The 14565-nt window shown below is 38.2% G+C and overlaps 1 protein-coding gene across 3 annotated transcripts in view; it reads left to right on the forward strand.

The window, feature by feature from the left end:
* The window catches only part of RHOBTB3 (Rho related BTB domain containing 3), a 78738-nt gene that overhangs the window by 26056 nt on the left and 38117 nt on the right, over positions 1-14565 (forward strand). For 2 of the 3 annotated variants that reach the window (XM_017009237.2, NM_014899.4), the window contains exons 4-6: positions 4654-4808; positions 8560-8671; positions 11717-12082. In XM_017009237.2, coding sequence (XP_016864726.1) covers positions 8572-8671; positions 11717-12082 — 466 coding nt within the window. In that variant the 5' untranslated portion in view covers positions 4654-4808; positions 8560-8571. The remainder of the gene's footprint in view (positions 1-4653; positions 4809-8559; positions 8672-11716; positions 12083-14565) is intronic. The other variant, XM_011543279.3, reaches the window with a different exon arrangement.

The following is a 14565-nucleotide window of genomic DNA, read 5'->3' on the forward strand; positions in this document are numbered from 1 at the left end:
TCCCTCCTTCCCTCCCTTCTTCTCCTCCCCCCCATTTTTTTTTTTTTTTGAGACAGCATGTCACTCTGTTGCCCAGGCTGGAGTGCAGTGGCACAGTCTCAGCTCATGGCAACCTCCACCTCAGGTTCAAGTGATTCTCCTGCCTCAGCCTCCTAAGTAGCTGCAATTATAGGTATGAACCACCATGCCTGGGTAATTTTTGTATTTTTAGTAGAGGTGGAGTTTCATCATAGTGGCCAGGCTGGTCTCGAACTCCTGACCTCAAGTTATCCACCTGCCTCAGCCTCCCAAAGTGCTGGGATTACAGGCATGAGACAATGCACCTGGCCCCTCTCCCCCTTCCTTCTTTCCTTCCTTCCTCCCTCCCTCTCTCCTTCCCTCTTCTCTCCTTCCCTCTCTTCTTTCTCTCCTCCCCCCTTCCCCCTTTATTTCATCATCTCTGTGATTTGGCAGGGAGGGGAGATCACAGTGTGGGCTTAGCTTTCCATCTTGAAACTGGAAATGAATGTTTTCCTTTCTTCTCACATCCAGTCCCCTGTACATGCTGTATTCTTAACTGTAGTGCCCCTCTACACAGCCCCTATCATATCAGCATAGCAAATTCACACTTATCTTTTAAATCATTACACTTTCTGTGAAGCCTTCCGTAATCCCCCCAGACAGTTAACTTTCTCTCCTCTGTTGTGTGGTGGCTTTGGACATCTTTATTTCAGTGCTTATTATGTTATATTATAACTGTTTGCAGTCATGTCTATCTTCTCTCAGTTGACTATGAGTTTTTATATCATTGCATTTTTATATCCCTGGCACTTGATGTGTGGTAGGTACTCACTAAACGTTTATTCAATGAGTGAATGGTTTTATGGATGATCTGAGTAAGTGAAAAAATCAATTTCACTAACAAGATGAAATTAATTTGCCATACAAGATGTAATTACAAAGTAATTACAAAGCTAAATCTGGCTATTCAACTCGAGGACCTATATTGGCTTCCCCCCATCCATCCCTTGGAATACATGAAACTGTGTTGGGTGCTCTCCTGGTAATTCCCTTGGAACTCTTTTTAACTTTTTGTTTGTTTGTTTGTTTTTTGTTTTAAATAGAGATGGGGCTGGCCACGGTGACTCACGCCTGTAATCCCAGCACTTTGGGTGACTGAGGTGGGAGGATCACTTGCGATCAGGAGTTCAGGACCAGCCTGGGCAACATGGTGAAACCCCATCTCTAGGAAAAATACAAAAATTTGCCAGGTGTGGTGATGCACACCAGTAGTTCCAGCCACTAGGTAGGCTGAGGTGGGAGGATCACTTGAGCCTGGGGGAGGCAGAGGTTGAAGTGAGCAGAGATCATGCCACTGCACTCCAGCCTGGGCGACAGAGTGAGACCCTGTCTCAAAATAAATAAATAAATACATAAAAATTTAAAAAAATTAAAAAAATGGAGATGGGATCTCGCTATGTCAACCAAGCTGGCCCCCAACTCCTAGGTTCAAGGGATCCTCCCACCTCAGCCTTCCAAGTAGCTGGAATTAAGCACACGCCATCATGCTCAGCTTCTTGAAATTCTTTTTAAAGTTAAAAAGAATTCAGCCAAGTATAATCCAGTCTCATTTCTTTCCTTTGTTACACATTTTTGACAACTTTGACCCTATGGATGTCTTCATCATACTTGGCTCTGAATAAATTTTCGGCTTATACTAAATATTGAATCTATCTTGAAAAGAGAATTTTTTTTCAGAATGTGCTTAGAATGTATTCATAGGTTTAAGCTCCCAAAGACAGGCATCCTTTCAGTTATTTCTGAAGCTCTGGTAGAGCCTGGTCCTTTACTAGGCTAGAATTTTTGAAAAGAATTTCTAAAACTTCCAAGCAGTGGCAATGTTGTAAGAATTAACCTGCAGGTTCCCAAAGCCACTACTTTTCAAAGATGTTATCCATTTGAATGTCAGAGTTACATTGTGCTTGCTTTTAAAAAAAAATAGACAGCATTTTATGATAACATCTTAAGCATATAAGGGAAAAAAAGACTATAATGTTAGCTAGAAGTGTAGCACTCATTCAGAGTCACGTGACCATGCCGCACCACAATTTAAAATTAGTTTGAATCCTCTGCTTGTTCCTGATTAAATGGTTAATGTAAATTAATTTAATTTAGAATCGGTTCTACTGCTATAACCAATACAAGCCAGACTTCTACTTGGAATCTTAGATCATATAGCTGACTGATATTGAAGAATATAGGAATGGTTCAAAAGAGAACCACAAAGTAACTATTAAGAAACAAAAGCCTCTCAAGAAGGTTTTAAGAAGTAAGATTTTAGAATCCAGATAAAGGGTAGGTAGCTAAGTGGCAACACAGTTACAGCATAATATGGTGTAGAAAGACTAGACATTTTTTCCTTTCTGGTGAGTGAACAAAAACAAATGTCTTCAGTGACATAGAAGAGATACAGGGGCACTTTCTAGGAACATGTGTAGGTAAGTTGCTTACAACCACGCACAGTGGAAAAACCACCCTGCTAGCATAAACCTGAAATTAGTTGTATTTTCTCCCTCAAATCAGATTGTTAAAAATTATTTTACATTATGTTCACTTCACTTTTCCACTTGAAACACTCCTGTCTCTGCTTGATTTCTGTCCAGAAATAAAGTTTAATAAGATGATCTGGCTACCCACTCCATTCCATCAACATAAGGAGACCTTTGTAGATATAAGAAGGCCTCTGTTTTCAGAAAATCAAAGGCACTGTTTAGGAAGGCTTTGTGAAGAATGTGAAATACCAACATGTTATTTTTCAAGATAGGCTAAATTCTGTATGAAAACTTTATTTGCTCCAAACTTAAAATGATCTTAGAAAAAGTAAAAGTAAAATCTCAAATTAGAATTTATGGCATAATTTAGAGAACTCAAGTTTAATTTTTAAATCACTGTATCTTTGGAATCAGTAATTCTCTACTAAAACTATATTTTTATTTTTCCTTTTGGTGTCACTTTTATTATCAGGTGGAGCAAGTAGCAGTGTTATGATTGCTTCTCTATCTCTAACCCACAAAGAGACTTGGAAAAGCCACATAACCTCTCTGAGCCTCAGTTTCTTCCTCTGCAAAATGAGAATATGAATATATGGCTTCTGAGCTCCAAAATGCTTTCAGTGAAGCTAAAATTATCTAAGCCATGTGTGTCTGTGTGTATGTGTATGTGCATTTTTACATACATGGTATGCATATGCACTAAATATATTTAGCGTATACCCGATATTTACATATATCTGCTCCATCTGTATGCAATTCATTCACAGGGAAGTTGCTGCATATGCGATGGGGGAGTTGCTCAAATGTCCTTTCAGGGCCAGTGTACTTACTCCCTCAGTTATTGGGGCTTGTTGGCTGCTGCTGATGCACATCTGAGCCCCTTTCCATGCATTACTCTGTGCTGATGGGAGCTGCCTTGCCCAAGTTATCCCTGCTCCAGGGGCTCAGCCCTTGTCTGATTGCTGGTCGATTTAGGGATAGGATACAGCTCAGCTACCTCCTTTCCCCAAATGAGGAACAACTCTAAAAGGCCATCTAAGCTCCAGAGCCCCCTGTAGGATCAGCTTTGGTCCCTGTTCCAACAGTACTGCAATTCCAATTTTCCTTCTACCCAGTCCCGCATTCCTCACCCCTGAGAAGCGTTATTCCCAAGATCACTCCCCAATTAACCTTCTCCACACCACTCTTCATCTTAGAGTCTGCCTCCCCACGGGAAGCCAATCTACAACAACATGCATTTCTAGAAATGAATTTACCCTCTTTTGATCTGGCAGCCTTTTTGAATGGTGACACATCTGATGTTGTGGTCACGATACATAACAAATCTGGCTGACAAATATGGAGTTAAACATATATTTTTAGCCTTACTAGGGATGTTCTTATAGATAGATTGTTCTACCACCTTCCTAGCCATAGATGTATACATGGTACAACTGTGAATTTTGGGACTTTCACTTTTTGAGTTAATCCTTTTTATTTCTTCAGTTTTTAATTTTTTAATCTTAAAGAAAAAGATAAAGAATGATTGAACTTGTTCTCTGAAGTCAAATGCGTTAGAGTTTAATGATTGAAATGTCTGAATTAATAGGAATGTACTTCCTATGAAGTTTACAAAGAGAGTGACAATTTTGTTGCCTGGAAAATCAGGTCAAATTGAAGGTTCTGTTACAATAGAAGTGTAAGGTTTACTCAAACTTTGTAAATAGATTTCAAGTTTATTATATTAAAAAAGCAAATCCACTGTTTTCCATGCTCTCCATGGCAATCAAGTTGTTACATTTATCTTCTTTTCTACTGGCCTAGAAATACTGATATTCAGGATGTCAAGGTTGTGTAAAAAGAAGCAGGCCCACGAGTACTGGTTGTTTGTTAATATCCATTCACCTACTTTTAAATTTTTCTATTTTCTAAAATACTATTTATTATTCTTGCAGTGAATGCTTGTTTATTTAGGGAGTCATTGACACTTTGTATTCAGAGTTTAGTGGGTAGTGGATATACTGAATGCTTTTGAACTGTGGCTCTAGTATGAGCTCTTTGTTGTTTAATGTTCAGATTGTCTGTGTACCTTTTTTTTCCTGTTTAATTTCGAAACTCTTTGTTTTAAAATTTGTTTTCTCAGAAGAGTTACCTTGTACATGCCCACTATGTACCTCAGACAGAGGGAGCTGTGTTAGTACAACTGAAGGGATCCAACTTGCAAAAGAACTAGGAGCGACCTATCTTGAACTCCACAGCCTTGATGACTTCTACATAGGAAAGTATTTTGGAGGAGTGGTAAGTGGAAATTCCTGTTAAGTATAAAGTTATTTGTCAGGTTGCCTCTTTAGGTATTTTGTAGAACATCAGTTAGAACTTCAGCTTTAAAAGCATGGTTTGTCTTACTTAACCTTGAGAAATAAAATGAGAGTGAGTGGCAAAGGTTTTATCAGAATAAAATTATAATTTTATTTTTCTCTCCAAATGAACCTTTTCTATTTAATATGATATTTTGGAATTTTTCATTTGGTGATCTTTAGTAGTCTTTGTTGTATGTATCAAAAGCATGTTTACTTAACCAAACCTGTGATGCCACTTTTAATAGTCATCTTTATACAGCTGAATGAGCCTGGCAGCCTGAGCCAGCAGGCCCTGAAAGTTCTCTTTCATTTCCATCTACCAGTTGGAAAGAATAATTTTTCTTCCTCTGTGTGTGCTTTGGCAAAATTTTATATCCTCCTAATCTTGTTGTGGCTCAAACAGATTCAGAGGAACTACTTATATAAATAGCTGCTTGTTGGATATGTGGGAGCAAATTTGCTTGCTTGGTTGCCGTGGCGCATATTGGGTTCTGCAGTCATTTTGATGCTGATGTTAACACATAGCACCTCCCATATAGTATTAGGACTGTAATGTCCTTGGAGAATACTGTGGAGTTGTATCATTTAAGAATTTGCTGACATAGAAACTACATTTCCAAACCTCTAAGAAGCAACTCCTCTCAACAGACAAATCTGATATACACGGATGAGAAGTTAAAAGCAAAGAAAACCTACTTTAAGCAGGAGCACTTTGGCATCCGCCATCGGTTCCCTAGCTCTTCACCAAGTACTCTTTCCAATACGCCCCAATATTCATTATGTAAATTCATGTTAAAATGTTGAGGTTCCACAGATGACTACAGAAATACCATTTGTGTAAATGGGTAAAATAAAGACCAAATATAAATGCTGCCAATTTCCATCAAATATAAATGGCTTTTATTCACCCAATAATATAAAGAAACATTAATATTACAATGTTAAAGAAGATATACTCACAATATTGATATTATCGATGACTGTGAGAAACTTTTGTTGCATTCATTTATAGTGATGAGCAGTGAGTAGAAAGGTGGATAAGAGAAATTTAATCTTCCTTTCAAGCAGATTATATACTAGTGGCTTTTAAAAAAATCTTAATTTGGCGAAGAATGGTGCATTTCCTAAAATACCTGGGAAGCTGGAGAGCAAAAAGATGGTTTGGTTTTGCTTATTGTGAAGGTTCATTTGTCAGATAGTTTTATGCACTAGATTTGGTTTCATTTGTTGAGGGGAGGCCGTTCCCTTGGAAGCCACAGGTCTCCTTGCTCCCTGTTCTAGGATCCTGAACCTGAAATTCCCAGGATCATTCTTCCCACTTTCCCACTCGCACTTTCTCTCCTCTCTTTCTCTTCTTCTGGCTCCTTTTTTCTCTTTCTTCCTAATATCTAATGTTGCAATTAGGGTTAGAGGCATGATGAGGATTGATGTGGCCAAGGTTGGGAGAAAGACGTGGCAGTTTCTTTTTACCTTAACTCAAGCCCTGTTGAGAATATGGAAACAAGATCAGAATGGTATCATTTTAGATGTTTTACTTTCTAGTAAAGTACAACTGGGATCTTGAGTGTAAAATAGAATGGCATTGGCAAACATATGGATGGAGATGATAATGTTAGAATGAAAGGAGCATTGAAAATCTGCATTTAAGGGTCAGAGTTGAAGAGCTGTGCAATACTACCCTTAGACCTAGGCCAGAGAGAAAGCCGCCTGCCTTCCAGCTTTAGAGAGCTCCATCTGTCCGTCCTCCAGTTGCACCCCTCCCCACAGGGCACAAGTCAGTGGAGCCAAGGGTTGTGCCCACCTGGAGCTGGTGGACTTCATTCCTTTCTAGACCTGCGCTGTCCAGTATGGCAACCACTAGCTACATGTGGCTATTTATATTTAAATGAATTGAAATAAAACCAAGTAAAATTCAGTTCTTCAAGCATATGAACCATATTTTAGGTGCTCTATGGCTACATGTGGCTAGTGGCTACTGTATTATATAATGCATATATTACAGAACATTTCCATCAACACAGAAAGGTCTATGGAATAGTGCTAGGACTATGCTCCCAAATCCAGTACCCCAGAATTCTCCGGCCACTGGTCCTGGGTCTGTTTCGGCCTGTGCAGGCCATTTTCCTGGGACAGTCCTCCTGATGGTGGACCACATTGCTGGTATATGCACCCCTAGGCCTGCGGGGTGGCCAAAGGGTGAGTCTTTATGGGGAATGGGGGAGGGGACAGTGGACAGAGCTTTGATGTCCACTTGTGTGCACAGAGCTCTTTAAAGCTCTGTGTTAGAGCAGGAGGTGAGAAGAGAATGGGTGGTCTTAGGGCTCAGGAATTAGGGATCAGCTCTCCCTTTGCTGTATGAACCTCTGAAGAATCTGAGAATTTAAATATAAATCTTGCCTGCCAGGCTTTTATGATGATGTATTTGTCAAAACAGAAGTATAGAATATCTTTTATATAACAGTTTGTTTTCTTGATTTACAGCGTTTAAATATTTAGGTGTGTGGTGGGTGGGCCTCCATTTGGACTTTTGCCCCAGGCCTTGCAAGCTAGGGCACAGGCCTGAAGCTACGTAAATGCACCTGAGAGAGATTTTTAGTTTGTAAAGGACAGATTTTAAAGAAATTTGTTCAAGAGAAGAAAGCGAAGTTTCCTGGCTCATGGGAACATCTGTAGACATAGAGGCAGCTCTGTTCCTGCTTTAATTTCACTAATATTAACTGTGGTGGTTGCCCACTGAGAAAATTATTACCAGCCACACAATTGTAGTGCTTGGCTTTCTCGAGTATTCAAGAGAGTAGCTGCGTGGGATGGCATGCACTTATAATCCCAGTGACTTGGAAGGCTGAGGCGGGAGGATCCCTTGAGTCCAGGAGTTTGAGTCTAGCTTGAGCAACATAGTGATACTCCATTTCTAAAATTAAAAAAAAAAAAAAGAATATATATATATATTTGTTAAATTTGAAAAAGAGAACCAACAATTCCTTCCTTGAAAAAAAAACTTTTATTTTAGGTTCAGGGGTACATATTTGTTATACGGGTAAATTGCATGTCACAGGGGTTTAGTGTTCAGATTATTTCACTAACCAGGTAATAAACATAGTACATGGTAGATAGTTTTCTGATCCTCACCCTCCTCCCTCCCACCACCCTCTCAAGTAGGCTCTGGTGTCTGCCGGTCACTTCTTTGTGTCCATATGTACTCAATGTTTAGCTCCCACTTATAAGTGAGAACATGTGGTATTTGGTTTCTTGTTCCTGTTAGTTCGTTTAGGATAATGGCCTCTAGCTCCATCCATTTTGCCGCAAAGGACATAGTTTCATTCTTTTTATGTCTGCATAGTATTCCATCGTGTATATGCGCCACGTTTTCTTTATCCAGTCTATCGGTGATGGACATTTAAGTTGACTCTATGTCATTGCTGTTGTGAATAGTGCATGTTTCTTTGTGGCAGAATGATTAATAACAATTCCTTCTTGAGTGGATAGTTTATTTATGTTCAGAGAAGGCACAATCTGCTCCACTCGATTCATTTTTTAAATAAAAACATTGTTTATATGTGTTTGCTAATGCATACGTATAAATGGTACTGACGTTTAAAATGTTTGACAATTGTGACTTCAGATGCAAATTTTCATGTTGGATATATAGTTTTGTTGGATCTTCAATTAAAATTTGATTCCTGTTTTAGTTGGAGTATTTTATGATTCAAGCCTTAAATCAGAAGACAAGTGAAAAAATGAAGAAAAGAAAAATGAGCAACTCCTTTCATGGAATTAGACCACCTCAACTTGAACAACCAGGTGCATTTCTTAGCCAATGTCTAGACATTCATTAAACATTCATTACAGATCCTTTCTCACAGGTCTTAGAGCAATTATTCTCAAACTTGAGCATGCTCAGAGCTTACCTGACATTCTGATTCAGTCAACCTGGGATAAGGCCTAGAATCTGTGTTAATCAGCCTCCCAAGTGATGCAAAAGCAGATTGGTACTTGAATCACATTTTGAGAAATACTGCTTTAAAAATTGAGCCTATAGATCCTATGTGTCCTAGGTGGGGAGCTGTTCTAGATTAAAGTCTAATGCTAAGTTACTACTAAATGCAATGCATGAACCTTGATTGGATACTGGTTCAATAAAAACATCTAAAAGATGTTCTTGGGACATGGGTTAAATTTTAATACGGACTGGAAATTAGATTATATCATGTAATTACTGTTAATTTTCTTATGCATCATAATGGTATTGTGATGAATAGGAGAATGTTCCTGTTCCCAGGAGATGAAGGTGAACGTAGAGTCCCGGGCGCGGTGGCTCACACCTGTAATCCCAGCACTTTGGGAGGCCGAGGTGGGAGGATCACAAGGTCAGGAGATCGAGACCATCCTGGCTAACACGGTGAAACCCCGTCTCCACTAAAAATACAAAAAAATTAGCCGGGTGAGGTGGCAGGCGCCTGTAGTCCCAGCTACTCGGGAGGCTGAGGCAGGAGAATGACGTGAACCCAGGAGGCGGAGCTTGCAGTGAGCAGAGATTGTGCCACTGCACTGCACTCTGGCCTGGGCGACAGAGCAAGACTCTGTCTCAAAAAAAAAAAAGAAAGTGTTTTAGAGCCAAAGGATCCTGATATCTGCAACTTTTAAATATTTCAGCTGTGTGTATGTGTGTGTGTTGATGTGTGGATGTGTGTGTGTGTGTGTGTGTGTGTGTGTGTGTCTTTCTGTCTCTCTAGAGATAAGGGGAAAATAAAAAATGTTAATAATTGCAAAATCCACGTGAGGGATATATGTGAAGGGTATATGTGTGTTCATTGCATCATTCTTTCAACTTTTTTGACTGTTTGAAAATATTTTTAATACAAAGTTCAGGGCAAATAAACTTTAAAATAAATAAATTATATCAACTGTTATCAGAATTTTCTGCATGATTTTGTAATAGAAATAGTAGGATAGCACTTTGTTGGATCAATGTCCTTTGGAATTTAAGGGACCTCATCTCTTTAAAAAAGTGCAGATATATAGACCACATATATATATAAATGATACACACTTGGCTTTTAATTTCCTGGTGTGCAAAGTGAAAGGGGAGACATGGTCTATTAGGTTGCAAACCCTTGGGCCTTAAATCCTTTCTGGATTAGAAAATGGGTGGGAAATGACCACATAAATAATGTAGATAGTTAGTTCTTAGTTCTTATTAATCAAGAAGACAAAATATACCAGATCCTCAGAGAAAGCAAAACATTACATGTCATTTAGCTTTAAAAGAAATATCTTGGCCCAGGTATGGTGGCTCATGCCTATAATTCCAGCACTTTGGGAGGCCAAGGTGGGCAGATCACCAGGGGTCAGGAGTTCGAGACCAGTCTGGCCAACATGGTGAAACCCCGTTTCTACTAAAAATACAAAAATTAGCCGGGCATGATGGCGACGCCTGTAGTCCCAGCTACTCGGAAGGCTGAGGCAGAGCTGCATGAACCAGGGTGGCAGAGGTTGCAGTGAGCCAAGATCATACCACTGCACTCCAGTGAGACTCTGTCTCAAAAAAAAAGAAAAGAAAAGAAAAGAAAAATCTCTTGTGTGGGTCTTCATGTGAGGGCACTAAGTGATATAGTGGACAGGGCTTTCAAAAGTGTCTCTTCAGGAAATGCAGCCTCAGCGTTCACAAGGCTGTTTCTTGTACTCTTCTGTTAAGAGAGCTGTGTGTATAACACTAAAGATATTCCAGAGGTTCAGAATAATACAGTCTGGGTACATATTTGGGGCTGATTTGTTCCAAGGACGGATCCTGGGCTCTGGGGCACATGGCATTTAGGGTTCTGTAAAGGGGCCACAGGCAGTAGAAGGGAGGAGGGTGGACTGGAATACAGTGCAGGGAGAGCCTGGCCTCCAAAGGACTTCGTTATTATCTGTTTTATAGGCTGGGGTTTGCTTTGGAATCAAGCATTTTTATTGCTAAAGAAGTTTGAATTCTACTGATTTAGACGGTTGCATACCCTTCAAACAACCCTTCACAAATGTCACTTTCCTCAGCTCCTCTGGATAAAAATGAGATGGCAGATGTTTTACAGTTAGGGTCTGTGGTGAGGGCCTGGAGTGTAGGTATTCTGAGTTGATTGAGGGCTCATCTCTCTTTGTTGGTGATCAAACTAGTAAACTGAAGGTTATATTCTCTTTTAGAAATTAGGGAGCTGAGTTAGCACTTTTGCTGAAGTGTTTTACTAGAAGGAAAAAATGCTAGTTTTGGAATCCAAATAAAGGGGTCACAATGTTTTCAAACGATCGAGTTCAAGACTCTGAGCCTTGACTCTGAGAAGTTGCACAATTTTAACAGCTCAGCCCTCTACCTCTACTTCTGGTCCCAGGAGGAAAAGGACTTCAGATGTGAGATTGGGTTCTTTGGAACTTATTCAGTACTTTGAATTTTTAAAATCAAAGGTAAAAGTAAAGAAGGATGACTGTGAAATACTAAAGTTCAGTATTTGGCGGCTTGTTTTATTTTGGGACACACAAGTAAGAAGAAATGTTATTTTATTGTTCCGTACGTCATTAGTGGGTTTTTCATTTGCTCTATAAAATGTAAATAAACATAGTATTTGTGTGTCTGTGTTATAACATTCTACAGTTCCTGAATAATTAGTTTATATATGTTTATAAATTAGGTTAAGCAGTAGTAGAAAATCGCTGTTTTTGTGCATCAAAAAATGGTTAAATATTGGCTGTTTCTTATGCTTTAACCTAATAATATTTTAAAATATTATACAATTATATTTAAAGTAAACATGAAATTGTTGGGTCTGTAAACCTGAAAGGAGTTTATTATTTTTATTTTCTTTTTCAAAACAGAAAAAATGCCTGTCTTAAAGGCTGAAGCGTCACATTATAACTCTGACTTAAATAACTTGCTGTTCTGCTGCCAGTGTGTGGACGTGGTATTTTACAACCCCAATTTAAAGAAAGTTGTAGAGGCCCACAAGATCGTTCTCTGCGCTGTAAGCCATGTTTTCATGCTGCTTTTCAATGTGAAGAGTCCCACTGACATTCAGGATTCCAGTATCATCCGAACTACCCAGGATCTTTTTGCTATAAACAGAGATACTGCATTTCCAGGTGCTAGCCATGAATCTTCAGGCAACCCACCATTACGAGTCATTGTTAAAGACGCCCTCTTCTGTTCTTGTTTATCAGACATCCTTCGCTTCATTTATTCAGGTATCTTGTCAAGTGGTTCTGGTTACTTACAATCTCATAAGCTTTGGAAATGAAATGTGCCTGTGACACTCAAGGGTACTGGTTAGTTTTACAGTGGTCTTTACCTACCATCTGAGATTAAGATTATACATGAAATATTATTTGCTTTATATATAAGAATTGGTCCAAGCTTTCTGTTTTCCTTACAAATGTACTTGCCTCATCTTTTCCCTATCAATTTCATTTTATTGTGGTAAAATACATAGAACATAAATTTTACCATCTTAACCATTTTTAAGAACACAGTTCAGTGGAATTAAACACATTCATAATGTTGTGTAACTATCACCACCATCCGTGTCCATAATTCTTTGCATCTTATAAAACTGAAACTCTATACCCATTAAACGATGATTCCCCATTCCGACCTCTTTCCAGCCCCTGACAGCCACCATTCTACTTTCTGTCTCTGTGATTTTAACTCTCCTAAGTGCCTCATGTAAGTGGAATCATACAGTATTTGTCATTTTGTGATTGATGTATTTTACTTAGCATAATGTCTTAAAGGTTCATCCAAGTTGTGGCATGTATCAGGATTTTCTTCCTTTTAAGGTTGATAATATTCTGTAGTACATATAGACCACATTTTGTTTACCCATTCATTCATCCATGGACGCTTGGGTTGCTTCCACTGTTTTAGCTATTGTGAGTAATGCTGCTGTGAACATAGTGTACAAATATCTCTTTTGAGACTCTGCTTTTATTTTATTTTTTGCATATATACACAGAAGTGGAATTGCTGGATCACATGGTAATTCTGTTTTTGATTTTTTACTGCCATACTGTTTTCCACACTAGCTATACCACTTTATGTGCCTACAAACTGTGCACAAGGGTTCCAATTTCTCCACATCCTTGCCAACACTTGCTGTTTATTTTTTTTAATAGTAGCCATCTTAATGGGTTTGATGTGGTATCTAATTCTGGTATTGATTTGCATTTCCCTAATGATTAGTGATATCAAGCATCTTTTCATATGTTTTTGTATTTGCCTTGGTTTTAAATCTACTTGTAAAAACCATAATCTGCCAAACAAGTATGTTAATATTTTATTTCTTTAAAAAACATCCAAAATATGAAATGTGAGAATTTATTGTCCAATTTAGTTTTAAAGACATAAAATATTCCAAGAGTAAATGAAATCAAGTGTCTACACCTTAAAACCTAGCTATTCACTCTTCGGTTTGACTCTTAGGTTTTGTAGGGCGTGAAAGAGAGAATTGCATTCAGCTTACGGACTGGAAATCAATATCCAGTGTTAGTTGAGGTCTAATTAACTTTGGCTATGACTATCATAGACGTTACTTTTTTTTTTCCTTACTGTGCCCTTTCTTTTTAAGATTTAGCTTATCAAGTATTTTTCTCTTTGCCCTTTTAAAAACTCAGTAGCAACTATATTTTAAAGATGGAAGTTCTATCTGAGTCATTTTAGCAAATGAATTGAAGGTCTTACATCTAAGTGTCCCATGTAAGAGTGGAAAAGAACAGATGTAAAATGAATTTTAATGTAAGCATCTAAATATAAGTTTTCTCAGAACTCCTGTCTTTAATTTTCTTTACCCACTTCAAATCATGTAGCGATAACCTGTTAGGCTAAGGTCACTCCTGCTCTGCAGTGTGTCTGGAGAAACATTTATAATTAATTTGTTTTTAGGGTTCAAGTAAAGCCTAATTGGGAACAGACAAAAAGTTTAAGGTTTGCAAGGCAAGTATCATTTCATACAGGTAGGGAAATTTGGGGCAGCCTTTATTTAAGTAATTGATGTTAAAAATAAGGTATTACTTTGTTCATGTGGTTTGTGGTCATGTAATTTTATAAGTTAAAACTTAAATTATGATTTTGAAAAGTACAGTTGCAGCACGCAGATTTATGTGGATAAAAAATACATATTGGAGTAGAATGTGGTGCTAGGTTAGTGAAATATTGGCTTGGAAAAAGCATAAATTAAGCACCTGTACAGCACACACCCAGCACATTGCCTTCAACGGGTTCTCTGTAAGTTTTAGTTGAATTAAAGAGTAGGCTCCAGTAGCCGGGCATCATCATATCAGTAAGCCAAACTATTTAAAGACTTCATTTAGTACTATAGATTTTGACGTTTAAACTTAGAATGTCACAGTTCAGAATTTAAGATTTTGAAAAACTAACATGTTTACATGTTAAGAGAAAAAAGATGTTTTTAATCATATGTTTAAGGAACTGTGAGGGATGTGACTTTTGTATGATAATTTTCTGTTGAAATTACATGAATTATTCAGTAGGCTTCCACAATTATTATTGACTACTTTCAAAGGCATATGAGCACTCTGACGTCTTATATCCTTTTTAACATAGTAGCAGTAAAATAGCTAGATGTATCTCCAGTGGCTGATCCTGCCTAGCTTTCTCCTAGGGGGAGTGCTTTATTTAATTGCAAAATTAATACAGGCAGATGGAAAAAAAG

The sequence above is a fragment of the Homo sapiens genome, chromosome 5, assembly GCF_000001405.40.
Source record: "Homo sapiens chromosome 5, GRCh38.p14 Primary Assembly".
In the NCBI taxonomy this organism is placed as follows: Eukaryota; Metazoa; Chordata; class Mammalia; order Primates; family Hominidae; genus Homo; species Homo sapiens.